General features: G+C 40.6%; 1 annotated feature.

Moving 5' to 3' along the window:
• Window positions 2,444–3,003: an enhancer, noted in NCBI's record as "NANOG hESC enhancer chr12:47689897-47690456 (GRCh37/hg19 assembly coordinates)". NCBI's record gives its function as "activates a minimal SCP1, AML or CMV promoter by ChIP-STARR-seq in naive H9 embryonic stem cells {active_cell/tissue: H9 hESC(naive)}" and the evidence as "EXISTENCE:reporter gene assay evidence [ECO:0000049][PMID:30033119]".

The raw sequence follows: 17,728 nt of genomic DNA, 5'->3' as shown, positions 1-17,728 counted from the left end.
TTTTAAGAAGACCCATAGTCCCATAGCCAACACTCAAAATTTCCAGCATAAAATCCAAAATTACTTAGCATATGAAGAACTAGGAAAATCTCGACTCACATGGGAGAAAACAGTCAACAGATGTCAAAGCCAAGATGACACAGATGTTGAAATTTTCTGACAAAAACTTTAAAGCAGATATTTTTAAATGCTCTAAGAAGTAAAGGAAAATACTATTGAAATGAATAGAACAGTAGAAAATCTCACCAAAGGACTAGAAGATATTTTTAATAACCAAATGGAAATTATAGAACTGAAAAAATACAATAGCTGGGGAAAAAGTTGCAGTGAATGGACTTAACAGAACAGAGATGAAAGAGGAAAGAGTCAAATACATTTGAAATTGGATCAATAGAATTATTCTATCTGAACAACAGAGAAAAAAAAGGAAAGAAACAAACAAACAAAAGAACAGAGACTAGGGACTTCATTGTCCTCAGAGCCAATACTAAAAGGCCTACATTTATATCATTGGTGTTTCAGGAAAAGAGGAGAAAGAGTATAGTGTAAAAAAATTTGAAGAATTAATGGCTGAAAACTCTCCAAATTTGGCAAAAGATGTAAACCTACAGATGCAGGAAGCTCAGTGAATCTGAAACAAGATAAATCCAAAGAAATCTATGCTCAGACACAGCATATCAAATGGCTAAAAATTAAAGACAATAAAAAAAGGCTTGAAAATGGACATAGAAAAATGATACATGATTTACAGAGAAACAATAACTTGAATAACACATTTTTTATCTGAAGCCATAGAAGCCAAAAGGAAGTGGTAGAACATTTTTTAAATGTTGAATTAAAAATAAATTACCTAGAATTCTATATATAGAGAAAATAGTCTCTGGAAATGAAGATGAAATAAAGACATTCTCAGATGAAAGAAAACTAAGAATTTATGGCTGGCAGACCTACTCTGAAATACAGGAAGGAAATGACACCTGAAAAAAGTTTAGAACATCAGGACTAAAAACAAGAGTAACATAAATGGTAAATATCTGGGTAAATATAATAGACTTGAGTTCTTTAAAATATGTTTGATAGTTGAAAGCAAAGATTTAAAAAAATCTAATTGGTCTTAAGCATATATAGATATATTTCATAAAACAGCTACAACACGAAAAGGGAACATAAAAAAATAAGGTGATGAAATTTCTACATTCTACATGAAGTGGTAAAATATAATTTTAAAAAGACTGTTGAGGCTGGGTGCAGTGGCTCATGTCTGTAATCCCAGCACTTTGGGAGGCCAAGGCAGGTGGATCACTTGAGGTCAGGAGTTTGAGATCAGCCTGGCCAACATGGTAAAACCCTGTCTCTACTAAAAATACAACAGTTAGCTGGGTGTGGTGGTGCTTGCCTGTAATCTCAGCTACTTGGGAGGCTGAGGCAGGAGAATTGCTTGAACCTGAGAGGCGGAGGTTGCAGTGAGTCAAGATCACATCACTTGTGCTCCAGCCTGGGTGACAGAGTGAGACTCTGTCTCAAAAATAAATAAATAAGGTCAGGCACGATGACTCACGCCGTAATCCCAGCATTTTGGGAGGCTGAGGCAGGTGAATCATGAGGCCAGCAGTTTGAAACCAGCCTGGCCAACATGGTGAAACCCCGCCTCTACTAAAAATACAAAAAATTAGCTGGGTGTAGTGGCGGGTGCCTGTAATCCCAGCTACTCAGGAGGCTGAGGCAGGAGAATCACTTCAACTTGGGAGGCAGAGGTTGCAGTGAGCCGAGATCGCGCCGCTGCACTCCAGCTTGAGTGACAGAGAGAAACCCTGTCTCAAAAAATAATAATAAATAAATAAATAAAATTTTAAAAAATAAAAAAACTGTTGAAAGTTAGTTATTTATATGTAAGCCCTAGGACAGCTGCTTTAAAAGCTATACAAAGAAATGTAGAAAAAAAATGGTAGATAAATTTAAATGGAATATTATAAAATGTTCAAACAACCCAAGAGAAGGCAGAAGAGAAGAAAGACTCAAAAACAGAGGGAATGAACAGTAAATAAATTAAATGCTAGCCCTAAACCAAAATGTATCTATAGTTACATTAAATGTAAATGGTCTAAACAAAGGCTTGGCAAATTTCTTCTGTAAAAGGCTAAAGAGTAAATTAGGCTTTGTGAGTATACAGGCTTTTACAACCATTCAACTCTGCCACTGTAGCACAAAAGCAGCCATTGGCTATAATGCATAAGTGGATGAGTGCAGCTGTGATCCAATAAAACCTTATTTACAAAAAGAGGTAATGGGCTGGATATGGCTTATAGCTGTAGCTTGCTGACCTCTGTCTAAACATACCAATTAAAAGACAGAGATTTCCAGAATATATGAATAACCATAAACTGTATACTGTCTACAAAAAACTCACTTCAAACATAATGCCATAGGTAGGCTAAAAGTAAAAGGATGGGAAAAGATATACTTTCACTCGCGTCCCTGTGAAGAGACCACCAAATAGGCTTTGTGTGAGCAACAAGGCTGTTTATTTTACCTGGGTACAGGCGGGCTGAGTCCGAAAAGAGAGTCAGTGAAGGGAGATAGGGGTGGGGCCGTTTTATAGGATTTGGGTAGGTAGTGGAAAATTACAGTCCAAGGGGGTTGTTCTCTGGCTGGCAGGGGTGGGGGTCACAAGGTGCTCAGTGGGGGAGCTTTTGATCCAGGATGAGCCAGGAGAAGGAATTTCACAAGGTAATGTCATCAGTTAAGGTAGGAACAGGCCATTTTCACTTCTTTTGTGATTCTTCAGTTACTTCAGGCCATCTAGATGTATACGTGCAGGTCACAGGGGATATGATGGCTTAGCTTGGGCTCAGAGGCCTGACATATACCATGAAAATATTAATCAAAAGAAAGCTGGAAGAAAAAAAAGAAAGCTGGTGTGGATATATTAATATCAGACAAAGCAAACTTCTGAGCAAAATATTACAAATAATAAATAAGAATATTACATAATGATAAAAGGATCAATTCACCAAGAAGACATAATCTTAAATGTGTATGCACCTAACAAGAGTTTCAAAATACATTAAGCAAAAATGGAAAGAACTGAAAGGACAAATATATAAATACACAGTTACATTTAGAGACTTAAATGTTTCTTTCACAGTATAGAGAAAATTAGCAAAAATATGGAAGAGCTAAACAACATTACCAACAAACTGAATATATTTGACATTTATGGAAACTACCCAACAACAAATATTAGTAAAATCAACAAATAGAATTCAGCAAAAGATATTGTGAGGGGAAAATATCTTGGGCCCCCAAAATCACTAAGCTAAAAGGGAAATTCAAGCTGGAAACTGCTCAGGGCAAACCTGCCTCCCATTCTATTCAAGGTCATCCCTTTGCTCACTGAGATAGATGCATATCCTGATTGCCTCCTTCAGAAAGCTTATCAGAAACTCAAAATAATGCAACCATTTGTGTCTCACCTACCTGTGACCTGGAAGCCCCCTCCCTGCTTTGAGTTGTCCCTGACTTTCTGGAGGGAACCAGTGTACTTCTTACATATATTGACTGATGTTTCCTGTCTCCCTAAAACGTGTAAAACCAAGCTGTACCCTGTCCACCTTGGACACATGTTCGTCAGGACTTCCTCAGGCTGTGTCATGGGCACATATCCTCAACCTTGGCAAAATAAACTTTCTAAATTAACTGAGACCTGTCTCAAGTTTGGGGTGTTCACAATGCTAAGAATAATACTTCATGACCAAGTGAATTTTATCTCAGGAATCCAAAGCTGGCTCAATATTCATAATTCAATCAATATACTCCGCCTTATTACATTTTTTTCAACTGCATATGGAACAATAAACAAGATAGACCATATCCTAGGTAATAAAACAAACCTTAACAACTTTAAAAGAATTGAAATCACAAAAAGTATGTTCTATGACCACAGTGGAACAGAACTAGAAATAGATAACAGGAAAATCTTCAAACACTTGGACATAAAAACACTTCTAAGTAGCCCATGAGTCAAAAGAAAATCTTGAGGAAAATTAGAAAAGATCTTAAATGGAACAAAGAAACATATATAACATTAAAATTTGTGAGACTCAAAAATAAAGACTATTTAAAAGGAAACAATGGTGGGATGCAGGTCAAGCAGTGCTTAGAGTGAAATTGTGTCATTAAATGCTTACATTCAAAAAGAATGTGGCCATTAAAAAGAACAAAATCATGTCCTTTGCAGCAACATGGTTGCAGCTGGAGGCCATTATCCTAAGCAAATTAATAATGTAGGAATAGAAAACCAAATACCTCATGTTCTCAGTTATAAGTAGGAGCTGAACATTCAATACACATGGACAGTAGACACTGGGATTTTTAGCAGGGGAAAGGAGGGAGGAATGGGCTTAAAAAACTACCTATTGGGCCCTATACTCAGTACCTGAGGGATGGGACTATTGGTACCCCAAACCTCAGCATCATGTAAACATGTAACAAACCTGCACATGCACCCCTTGAATCCAAAAATTAAAAAAAAATTTTTTTTAAAGAAATTGTTTAAAAAGCAAAAACCCAGAATATTTTTATGATCTCAATTTTATAAAATAAAAGATTTACATGCAAACATGCATGTACACACACTGAGTAAATGGAACAAGCCATCATGTTAACAGTGGTTGTCACTGAAAAAAAAAAAGGTCTTAAATCAGTGATTTAAGCTTCCACCTAAGAAACTAAACACAAAAAGAGCAAGATAAACCCAAAGCAAGTGAAAGAAAGGAAATAATGAAGACGAAAGAAGAAATCAATAAAATTGAAACAGGAAAAAAAAAAACCATAAAGCTGTCTCTTTGGAAACATCAACAAAATAAATAAATTTATTTATTTATTTATTTATTTATTTATTTATTTATTATTTTTTTGAGACAGAGTCTCACTCTGTCACCCAGGCTGGAGTGCAGTGGCGCAGTCTCGGCTGATCGCAACCTCTGCCTCCCAAGCTGAAGTGATTCTCCTCCCTCAGCCTCCTGAGTAGCTGGGATTACAGGCGCCCGCCACTACACCCAGCTAATTTTTTGTATTTTTAGTAGAGGCGGGGTTTCACCATGTTGGCCAGGCTGGTTTCAAACTGCTGGCCTCATGATACCAATATTGACCAAAAGACAGTGAAGGAGAAAGAGAGAAGACACACATTACCAGTGACAAGAATGAAAGAAAGAAGATCATTACAGGCGTCACAGACATTAAAAGGATAGTAAGGAAATACCCGAATGGCTCTGTGTACATGTATGCAGTCATTTAAATAAAAAGGAACAATTCTTTGAAGATCACAGACTACCAAAACTTACTCAAGATGAAATTATAACATAAATTCTCATATATATAAATTGTCATAAATAATATATAATACAAATATAGTGTAGCAGGACAAGCCGCAGACAAAACCCCTTAGACACTGAGTTAAAGGAAGGGCTTTATTTGGCCGGGAGCTTCCGCTTCCGCGAGACTCAGGTTTCCAACAACTGAGCTCCCAGAGTGAGCAATTCCTGTCCCTTTTAAGGGCTCACACCTCTAAGGGGGTCCGCGTGAGAGGATCGTGGTTGATTGAGCAAGCAGGGGGTACGTGACTGGGGGCTGCATGCGCCGGTAATTAGAACGGAACAGAACGGGACAGGGATTTTCACAGTGCTTTTCTATACAATGTCTATAATCTATAGATAACATAACTGATTAGGTCAGGGATCGATCTTTAACTACCAGGCCCAGGGTGTGGCGCCGGGCTGTCTGCTTGTGGATTTCATTTCTGCCTTTTAGCTTTTACTTCTTTCTTTGGAGGCAGAAACTGGGCATAAGACAATATGAGGGGTGGTCTCCTCCCTTAATAGTAAGTTTATATTTATTATGAGAAATTGGCTCATGCAATTACAGAGGCTAAGTACCACCATCAGCCACCTGCGATTTTAAGACTCAGGAAATTTGGTGGAAAATACTGAATTTTTTTCCCTAAGGTCATGACTAAGACAAACATATTCTTTTTTTTTTTTTTTTTTTTTTTTTTGAGACGGAGTTTTGCCTTGTCGCCCAGACTGGAGCGTAACTGAAAGCTCCACCTCCCAGGTTCACGCCATTCTCCTGCCTCAACCTCCTGAGTAGCTGGGACTACTGGCGCCGGGCTAATTTATTTTTATTTTTTATTTTTAGTAGCGACGAGGTTTCACCATGTTAGCCAGGACGGTCTCGATCTCCTGATCTCGTGATCCGCCTGCCTCGGCCTCCCAAAGTGTTGGGATTACAGGCATGAGCCACCGCGCCCGGCCAACCAGCATGTTCTTTAGGAGTGCATATTTAGGTGGCAAAACTCTAAAGCAAAACAACAGTTGATTATTATCCAAGCCGGGATAGCTGTTACCTCTAGGAAAGGTAAGGAAGGGAGGACCTCTGGGGTGTTAAAAATAACTTATTTCTTAACCTAATGGTGGCTTTGTAGGTGCCCATATCACAATTTGTTAAGTTGTACATTTATTTTATGCATTTTTCTGTATTTGATTGTATTTCTCAAAAAAAGTTGAAGAAAAGTGAATTTTTAAAAAACGTTTAATGTTAGTTTTATTAGGAAGAATAATTTAGCACCTTATTCCTCTTAACATTCATATATGCGTATATATATATATATATTTTTTTTTTCTTTCTTTCTTTTTTTTGAGACAGAGTCTCTCTCTGTTGCCCAGGCTGGAGTGCAGTGGTGCAATCTCGGCTCACTGCAACCTCCACCTCCCCGGTTCAAGCGATTCTCCTGCCTCAGCCTCCCAAGTAGCTAGGACTACAGGCGCTTGCCACCATGCCCGGCTAATTTTTTTGCATTTTTAGTAGAGATGGGTTTTCACTTTGTTAGCCAGGATGGTCTCGATCTCCTGACCTTGTGATCTGCCCACCTCAGCTTCCCAAAGTGCTGGGATTACAGGCGTCAGCCACTGCGCCCAGCCACTATATTTTTAATATTAACACAATTAGTAAAGAGTTGAAGTAATGAATTGCCCTCAAGAGCTTTCATTTTATTCAAATCAAGATCATGATTTAGCTACTCAGCATGGAAGAGGAGTCTCAGTTTCCTCGTCTGCACAGTGACGGGCAGGCTAGAAAGTGATGCTGACTGGCTGAGTGGGGCTACAGGACACTGAACATACAATCCCAGTCAGGAAGCTCAGTCTGTTTTCTGCTTCAATCAAAACCCTTTCTGATTAAAGAAAAAGTGTCAAAAATTGGCTTTAATTACCTAAAAGCTTTTTATGTAAGTTCCTTAGAAGATTATTTATAGCAAAGCCATTTAATATCATTAAGATAATTCCATGTGCATTTAAAAAACGTATTTTAAATTCCAGTGATGGCTCAAATTCTCTTTCCTAAGTTTTAAGGTTTGACTTGCTTAAAACAGTGCTTAAAACAAAAATTTGTATTAAGGGGCTAATAGAAATTTTGAAAGGCAAGGATGGATAACAAACTAAGAGTGGCAAAAAATCCTATAATTAATCCTAATTTACATTGGTTCTATGCAGAAAATACAAAACCATGTAGGTAGACTTCAGCAGAAGTGCTCATAAAAACACTTTTTTCTTTCACAGTTGGAAAAATGACTTAAAATTTGAGTTTTATAAATATTTGTTCATTTTAAATTTTTAAAAAGACCTTATTTCGGGGGAGAGTTGAGGGCTTTCTAAAATATATACTATAGCAGACTATCTTTGTGTTTTGTTATGCATGCTCAAGTTTTAAATTTGTATGTAGTAAAATCCAGAATTTGGGGGAAGTGGGGAGGGTTATATGGGTACAAAAACATAGACAGAATGAATAAGACCTAGTATTTGCTAGCACAACAGAGTGACTGCAGCCAAAAATAATTTAATCGTACACTTTAAAATAACTAAGAGTGTAATTGGATTGTTTGTAACACAAAGTATAAATGCTTGAGGTGATGGATACTCCCATTTACCCTGATGCGACTATTACACATTGCATTGCATGCCTGTGTCAAAATATCTCATGGAACCCATAAATGTTAAAGGTAAATACACCTACTATGTACCCACAAAAATTTTTAAGCCTGCAATAAATTGGGTTCCACTTTTTAAAAATCTACAATTCCCAGCCCAGCGCAGTGGCTCACGCCTGTAATCCCAGCACTTTGGGAGGCCGAGGCGGGCGGATCACGAGGTCAGGAGATCAAGACCATCCTGGCTAACACGGTGAAACCCCGTCTCTACTAAAAATATAAAAAAATTAGCCGGGCGTGGTGGCGGGCGCCTGTAGTCCCAGCTACTCGGGAGGCTGCAGCAGAAGAATGGCCTGAACCCGAAGGCAGAGCTTGCAGTGAGCCGAGATCGCACCACTGCACTCCAGCCTGGGCAACAGAGCCAGACTCTGTCTCAAAAAATGAAAAATAAAATAAATAAATCTACAATTCCCTTCTTTGTGATTTTTAAAAAAATCTTTTCTATGCCTAGAAAGTAGTTCCCCATACACATCTCATTCATTGAATTAATCTCATTCATTTACTTAATGAATATTAAGCATCTACTTTGGGGGGCTGAGGCAGGAGGATCACTTGAGGCCAGGAGTTGAAGATGAGCCTGGGCTATTATAGCAAGACCCTGTCTCTACAAAACATTTAAAAATTAGCTAAGCATTGTGGCACATGCCTGTAGTCCTAGCTATTCAGGAGGCTGAAATGGGAGGACTGCTTGAGCCCAGGAGGTTAAGGCTGCAGTGAACCATGATCATGCCACTGCACTCCAGACTGGGCAACAGAGCAAGATGCTGTCTCTTAAAAGAAAAAAAGTGTGTATGTGTGTGTGTGCGTAGATACACTCTCTCTCTCTCTATATATATATATACACATATATACTCTCTCCGTGTTTATATATTTAAAACGTGTGTGTATATATACATTTAAAAATATATATACATTGTAAATATATAGAGACTATATATATATAGAGAGAGAGTGTGTGTGTATATATGTATATATAGAGAGAGAACATCTACTATGTGCAGACACTGTTCTAGGTACATATCAGAAAACAAAACAGACAAAATATCCTGCCTTTGCGGAACTTACTTCAAGAGGAAAGAGACAAAAAACATAATACTCACACCTATATTATATCATATATTAAAAGGTAATAAGGGCTATGTGCAAAATCTAGCACAGGGGGGCTGGGCACAGTGGCTCATGCCTGTAATCCTAGCACTTTGGGGGGCTGAAGTGTGTGAATCGCTTGAGTCCAGGAGTTCGAGACCAGTTTGGGCAACATGGCAAAACCCCGTCTCTACAGAAAAATACAAAAATTAGCCTGGTATGGAAGTGCATGCCTGTGGTTCCAGCTACTTGGGAGGTTGAAGTGTGAGGATCGCTTGAACCCAGCGGGCAGAGGTTGCAGTGAGCTGAGATTGAGCCACTGCACCCCAGCCTGGGGAGACAGAATGAGAGTCCATCTCAAAAGAAACAACCCCCCCCAAAAAAAACTAGTGCAGGGTTATGGACATCACCAGTGCCAGGACAGGAGCGGAGAGGTGGTGGCTTGTTGCAATTATGAACAAAGTGGTGCTCCAATATGGGGTTCACTATATAAAAAAAAAGGGGGCAAGAGTCAACCTCATTTACCTAATTTGAGGAGATGGCATTTGAAGAAGGTTTAAAGGAGATGAGAGAGTAAGCCACATAATTACTTTGGGGAAGAGCATTCTAGGAAAAGGGAACAATATGTGCAAAGCCTTTGAGTACGGAGAGTATCTTTGGAATGTTCAAGAAAAAGCATGGAATCCCCCCTATGTCTGGAGCAGAGTCAACAAAGGGGAGAGTAATCAGAGATGTGGTCAGAAAGATAAGACAGGTCTTTTGTATTACATTGTAAGGAGTCTGACATTCACTCTGAGTAAAATGAGAGCCATTGGAGTGCTCAATTATGTCACTCAGATTTTGACAGGATCACTCTGGCTACTCTTTTGAAGATACAATGTAGCGTTGGGCAAGGTGGGCAAGGTGGCTTACACCAGTAATTCCAGCACCTTGGGAGGCCAGGGCAGGAGGATAGCTTGAGGCCAGGAATTCGAGGCCAGGGATTTTGTAGAGACATAGCGAGTCCTCATCTCTACAAAACTATTTTTAAAATTGGCCAGGCCCGGTGGCAAGTGCCTGTAGCCCTAGCTATTCAGGAGGCTGAGGCAGGAGGATCACTTGAGCCCTGGAGTTCCAGGCTGCGGTGAACTAAGATTGTACCACTGCAGTCCAGCCTGGGCAACAGAGCAACACCTTGTCTTAAAAAAAAAAAAAAAAAGAAAAGAAGAGAAAAGAAAGTAGAATGTAGGAAAACAAGGGTAGAGTGACCTGTTAAGAGGCTATTACAATAATCCATGTGAGATATGATGGTGGGTACCACTGTGCAACTGTGGAGGTGGTGGGAAGTGGTCAGATTTCACGTATATGTTGAAGGGAGAGACAACAGAATTTCCTGATGGAAGGATGGAGTTGTCATCAGCTAAATACTGAAATGAAGAAGAAAATGAGTACAGAGGAGATGAATTAGATTAGATCAGTTTTTGACCTGTTAAGTTGAGATGCCTATTTGACAGTTAAATACAATGTTGAGTAGTGTACTAAGTTAAATAGTGTTGTCCCAAAATTCATATCCACTTAGGTCTTTGCAGATGTAATAGGTTAAAATAAGAAGTCATACCAGATTAGTCCCTAAATCCAATGATTTGTCTTTTTTTTTTTGAGACAGAGTTTTGCTCTTGTCGACCAGGCTGGAGTACAGTGGCGCGATCTAGGCTCACTGCAACCTCTGCTTCCTGGGTTCAAGCGATTCTCCTGCCTCAGCCTCCCAAGTACCTGGGATTACAGGCGTCCGCCACCACACCAGCTAATTTTTCGTATTTTTAGTATGGATGGGGTTTCACCATGTTGGTCAGGCTGGTCTTGAACTCCTGACCTCAGGTGATCCACCTGCCTTGGCCTCCCAAAGTGCTGGGAATACAGGCATGAGCCACTGCGCTCAGCCCATTTGTGTCCTTATAAGAAGACTATGTGAATCCACAGAGACACACAGGGGAGAACTCCATGTAAGGATGAAGGCAGAAATTGGAGTCATGAGTTCTCTAATCAAGCAATGCCAAAGATTGCTAGCAACCACCAGAAACTAGAGGGGAGGTATGGGATAGCTTCTCTCTCAGAGCCTCTGTAAATAACCAGCCCTGATGACACCCTGATTTTTGGATTTCTGGACTTCTGCACTGTAAAAGAGCAAATCTCTGTTTTAAGCCACCAAGTTTGTGGTAATTTGTTATGGTGGCCCTAGGAAACTGACATAAGTAAACAATTGAAAATATGAGGGTGAGGTTTGGGCAAAAGTTCTGGCTGGATTGGAGATATAAATTTGTGAATTGGAACCTTATAAATAGTATTTAAAGCCATGAAATTAAATCTCAAGCAAATTTTTAAAATTTGGAAGAAGAGGAATAGGGAAGGGAAGAGAACCAAGAACTGAACCCTGGAGCCCTCTGTATTAAGATTTTGGGAAGGGCCGGGCACGGTGGCTCGCGCCTGTAATCCCAGCACTTTGGGAGGCCGAGGTGGGCGAATCACGAGGTCAGGAGATCGAGGCCATCCTGGCTAACACGGTGAAACCCTGTCTGTACTAAAAATACACAAAAATTAGCCGGGCATGCTGGCGGGTGCCTGTAGTCCCAGCTACTCAGGAGGCCGAGGCAGGAGAATGGCGTGAACCTGAGAGACAGAGATTGCAGTAAGCCGAGATCTCGCCATTGCACTCCAGCCTGGGTGACAGATAGAGACTCCATCTTAAAAAAAAAAAAAAAAAAAAAAAAAAAGAGTCTGGGAAGATGAGGAGGAACCAGTAAGAAAAGTCACCAATGAGGCAGGAGGATAAAGCACAAGACATGATATCCTAGAAGTCAAATGAAAAAAGTCTTTTTAGACAAAATGCACAAATAAAGCAATTAAATAATGAAGCAACAAAAGAAGCAACAAAAGCGCAGATTTATTGAAGCGAAAGTACACTTCACAGAATGGGAGTGGGCTCAAGCAGGCAGTTCAAGAGCCCCAATTACAATGTTCTTTAGGGTTCTTATTAAGTTAAAAGACTTTGGTAACACCCCTAGGTGCCCTTTAGAGGCCTTCAATTGGATACACGCTATGAAGGATTAGTCCATGACCAATCAAAGGCTGAAGTGAAAACTTCTGTCTTGTTATCACAGGAGTGAAAATGTGCCCTTTGTGCTGCTTAATCTTGCCTAGAACTGGCTGCACCTGCTGTTCTTTTGATTATTCCTTAACCGTTGGTTAGCCTAATTCCCTATTCTCCTGCCCCATGAAGAAAGGAATTGTAAACAGTGACTGTGGCAAAACAATATGATTTTGCTTTAAAAAAGAGCAAACTAGAGTTTCTGGAGGAATTAGTGGAGTCAAGAGAGGGTGATTTTAAAGTGGAAAAAATAACAGCATATTTTTTTGAAAAAGGGACTGAGTTAGGAGAGAGGTGAAAATTGATCCCTGTAGAAGGTACAGGAAATAAGTGATGTCCCATGTAGGAAAGAAGGCATAGGATCTGGGGCTGTGCTGTCCAATATGGAAGTGAGGAACCACGTATGGGTTCTAAGCCTTGAAATGTGGTGAGTCCAAATTGAGACGTGCTGCAAGTATAAAACACAGACCAGATTTAAAAAAGTATGAGGAAAAAAAGTGTGTAAAATATCTTATGAATAATTTTTGTTAATTACATGTTGAAATGATAATATTTTTGATACGTTGAGTTAAACAAAAGATATTAAAATTATTTTTACCTGTTTCTTTTTACCTTTTTTAATATGGATACTAGAATTATTATTTTTTTAATCTTTTTTTTTTTTTTTAAAGACAGAATCCACTCTGTCACCCAGGCTGGAGTGCAGTGGTGCAATCTCAGCTCACTGCAACCTCCACCTCCCAGGTTCAACTGATTCTTGTGCCTCAGCCTCCCCAAGTAGCTGGGATTACAGCTACTTTTGCACCACCACGCCCAGCTAAGTTTTGTATTTTTAGTAGAGACAGGGTTTCACCATGTTGGCCAGGCTGGTCTTGAACTCCTGACCTCAGGTGATCTGCCCTCCTTGGCCTCCTAAAGTGCTGGCATTACAGGTATGAGCCACTGTGCCCAGTCGAATTTTTTTTTTTTTTCTTTTTTGAGGCAGAGTCTCACTTTTTCACCCAGGCTGTGGTGCAGTGGCACTATCTCGGCTCACTGCAACCTCTGCCTCCTGGGATCAAGCTTTCCTCCCACCTGATCCTCCCAACTCAGCCTCCAGAGTAGTTGGGAGTACAGGCAGGCGCTTCCATGCTTGGCTAAATTTTTTTTTTTTTTTTTTTTTGGAGAGACAAGAAGTTTCACCATGTTGCCTATGCTGGCCTTGAACTCCTGGCTCAAGCATCTGCCCACCTTGGCCTCCCAAAGTGCTAAGATTACAGGAGTGAGCCACCGCTGGGTACTAGAAAATGTAAGGCTCCATTTGTGACTCATGTTCTGCTTCTATTGCGCAGAGGTGCTTGAGGGATGATATGAAGGAATTGGCCTTAGGAGCAAAAACAGTTTGTCTAAAATAATGAGAAGGAAGGCAGAATGTAGGGGCATAAACGCTGTTTGCTAAGTAGAGAGGGTGGTGGGTGTTTGAAAATTGCTTCAGTTTTCTCAGTGAATGAGGAAGCAAGGTTTTCCATAAGTTGAATTAAATTCATTTATGTAGAACTTATTTTGGTGTAGAGCATAAGGTAAGGATCTAAATATTTTTCCCTCAAATAATTTACCATTTATCCCAGCACCATTTATTGAGTAAGGTTTCTCCCCCTTTGATGTGTGATGCCTCCTTTTTCCTAGAACAAATTCTGTGATCTGTTTCTGAGCTGTCTGCTCCATCTATGTGACTAGGCTTGCACTTGCCCCTTGTTGATTTAATTATTGCAGCTATATAATACGCTGTGTGTGTTACGACCATCCCTACCATTCCTTCCCTTTCCCTGATACTTCCCGTATATTTGCTCGATACAAGCACAGACAAAATTTTGAGATATTCTGCCAAGTTTTAAAAGTTTAAGATAGATGTATTAATCTAAACTTTCCACATGGACTTTTTAAATACAATTTCAACCTTTATTTTAGATTCAGAGGGTACATGTACAGATTTGTTGCATAATGCTAAGGCTTTTGGGGTGCTGTTGATCCCAGAACCCAGGTAGTAAGCATATTATCCAATAGTTTCTCAAGCTTTCCCACTTCCATCTCCACCCCCTCTAGTAGTCCCTAGTGTGTATTGCTGCCATCTTTATGCCCATGAGTACTTAATGTTTAGCTCCTACTTATAGAACATGTAGTATTTGGTTTTCTGTTTCTGTGTTAATTTGCTTAGGATAATGGCCTCCAGCTGCAACAAAAGAATATAATTTTGTTCTTTTTGTGGCTGCATAGTATTCAATGGTATACGTGTACCACATTTTCTTTATTCAGTCCACTGTTGATGGGCACCTAGGTTGATTCCATGTCTTTGTTATTGTGAATAGTGCTGCAATGAACATATGCATGCATGTATCTTTTTGATAGAACAATGTATTTTCTTTTGGGTGTTGATGAAAAGAGTGAAACTTCATAAAATAGTTGAAGAGATTTATTCTGAGCCACATATAAGTGACCAATGGCCCATGACACAGCCCTCAGGAGATCCTGAGAACATGTGCTCAAAGTGGCTGGGTTATAGCTTGGTTTTATACATTTCAAGGAGACATAGGACATTAATCAATACAAGTAAGATGTATATTGGTTCTGTCCATAAATGCAGGACAACTGCAATTTTAGAGGGTTCCCAAAATCACTCTTTGATTTGGTATTCCCTAGAAACATGGGACTCACCAAAAGCTGTTATAGTCACATTTATGGTTTATTATAAGGAAAGGTTACAGGTTAAGCTTAGCCAAAAAGAGACACATAGGGCAGAGTCCAGAAGGGTTCCAAATGCAGAGCTCCTGTTGTCTTTTCCCCACAAAGTAAGGATACACGGTGGCATCCATGTGTGACAATACAGCAACCAAGAGAGAATCACCAACCAAGAGAGCTCACCTAAGCCTCAGGGTTCAGTTTTTGTTGGAGCTCCATTTCGTGGGCATAAATGATTGACTGGCCACATGGTTGATCTTAGTCTCCAGGCCACCGATACTGGGTGACCCAAAGCCTCCACCCAAAGTCACATTGTTGGTCTTTCAGCTCCAACCCTATGGCTACATGGGAGTGGCCAGTCCCCACCTTAAATTGCACTGACAATCCACTGTGACCCCCATCCCTCGGGCTAAGAAAGACAGTAGAGATTACGTTCCAGAAGCCAAGGACAAAAGGCGGGCTTATTTTGAAGAAGGTTAATTCTTCACCACATAGTAACATTTCTTTGCTTCCTGCATAATTAGAAAGAGAAAAGGGCTTCAGCTCAGAGGCTTTTTTGTTGTTTTTTGAGACTGAGTCTCACTGTGTCGCCCGGGCTGGAGTGCAGTGGTGCAATCTTGGCTCACTGCAACCTCTGCTTCCCAGGTTCAAGTGATTCTCCTGCCTCAACCTCCCGAGTAGCTGGGATTACAGGCACCCGCCACCACACCTGGCTAATTTTTGTATTTTCAGTACAGATGGGGTTTCACCATGTTAGCCAGGCTGGTCTCGAACTCCTAACCTCAGGTGGTCTGCCTGCCTCGGACTCCCAACATGCTGAGATTACAGGCATGAGCCACCACGCCTGGCCAGGCTTAGACTTTTTGAAGAGAGTTCACTTTGGCTGTGCCTGAAGGGTGCTGCTCTTTAATTCTCCAGGGGAAAACGGAACTCACCCCACACTTGGGAAACAGCCCTTAACCAATCAGTAACACAAACAGAATACTCCAGGAGGCCTTGATTCTCTAATCAGCAATCCAAATCACGCTGGGGAAATTACCCTTAATGTGTCATCCAAATTTCATGTAGACCCATTTAAATGTAAAACAAAGATAACAGAGTGTATCCTAGTGAAATGTGCCTCTCTTCCAATCATGCTGCTCTTTCCCTAGCACTCAAAATTTACACCCTGCTGAGAAGTTACCCTACATCACCTTCCCAGTTAGCAAAACTCCCGTCAGAGAAAGTCAACTATTTTTGAAATGCTTTTTCAGTGTGTTTTCAATACAAAGTCTGTTGGTCAATTAATAAGCAGGGAAGACCTGGTTAGTGGCAGGCACTGGACTAACATTGTGGTGAATGCAAAGGCAACAATGTGATCTCCATTCAGGGAGCTGGCAATCTAGAAGGGTGAAGAAAATACACAGACAGATAACCCAAGGGCAGAAGTTGAGAGATGGCACACAGACTTGCAAGCAAAGGAAATGAGACGTTTCTCTCTCAGAGCCTGGGACGCGGGCCTATGCCTTGTCTTCTTCAAGGCTGAGAAGCTTTTCTTTGTGACCTAGTCTTGGAACATTTATTTTACTTTGAAATCAGTCCTTCTTTTGGACATCCCAACCCAAAGTCCAGTGATCCAATGTGAATCAGTTCTACTCATTGGAAGGCGTTTCCATCAGGGTCGGGTTTTCTTAGCCAGTCCTTCCACTGCACATCTTGGAGTTTCAACAGTGCCTGCGGTGGGCAGCTGTGTGCAGAAATGCAACAGGAATTGTGTTGAGTCATGGAGCTTTCTGTGGGAGCTCTGGGGAATAGTGAAGGATAGAGGAGTTCATGTTCCTGGGAAAACAAGACTGAGCACTGAAAACTTAGCAAAGACACTACATTCTCTGCTTATTTAATGGATGATAAAATTCAATTCAAAAGTAGAGAGCGAATCATTTTATTTATTAAATTTCTCATGGGAATTTTCATATTTAATGATTTTTAAGCCAATAAATGGCTTTATTTTTCTAGTAATACAACATGTGGTTAGGGCGGGAGGGGGAGGAGGTTGACTAGGAGCTACTACTACATTAGAAACGAGAGTCTCAGAAGCCTTATCTTAGTCAATATGCAGATCTTGGCAGTCACTGAGCTGCTACTTCAGTTTTTTCATCTGTAAAAAAGCAGCCAAGAGTCCAGGGCACCCACCCCATGGACACATTAACTGTGAACACTGCCAGAACCATTTTTCAATACTGTAATTCTCCTCCTGGTCAGTTTTTGCTCCTAGACAGCTGACAACACGTTTCCTTCCATGGCCTCAGTGTAACTTTTAGATGATTCGCTCAAGCTCATAAACTGACTCAGTCTTACCACCCAACCTCATTTCTCTCCACCCATTGCCAGGATGAATTCTCACCTGTGGTAATGCTCTCCAGCTGGAGGCCACCAGGAACACACTGTATAGGTTGAGTTTACTACTCACAGCCAGGGCAAGCACACACCATGGGGAGCCCTGGGGTGTCTCAGCAAAAGGGTGTTAAAAAAAAAAAGATTTTTTTTTGAGACAGGGTCTTGCTCTGTTGCCCAGGGTGGAGTGCAGTGGCACAATCGTGGCTCACTGCAGCCTTGCCCTCCCAGGTTCAAGTGATCCTCCCACCTCAGCCTCCCAAGTAGCTGAGATTACAAGGTACATACCACCACACCCAGCTAATTTTTGTATTTTTTGTAGAGATGGGGTTTCACCATGTTGCCCAGGATGGTCTCAAACTCCTGGGCTGAAGCGATCCACTCTCCTC

This window comes from Homo sapiens, chromosome 12 (genome assembly GCF_000001405.40).
Source record: "Homo sapiens chromosome 12, GRCh38.p14 Primary Assembly".
NCBI classification, from domain to species: domain Eukaryota; kingdom Metazoa; phylum Chordata; class Mammalia; order Primates; family Hominidae; genus Homo; species Homo sapiens.
This window is presented reverse-complemented; position numbering and strand designations above follow the sequence as displayed.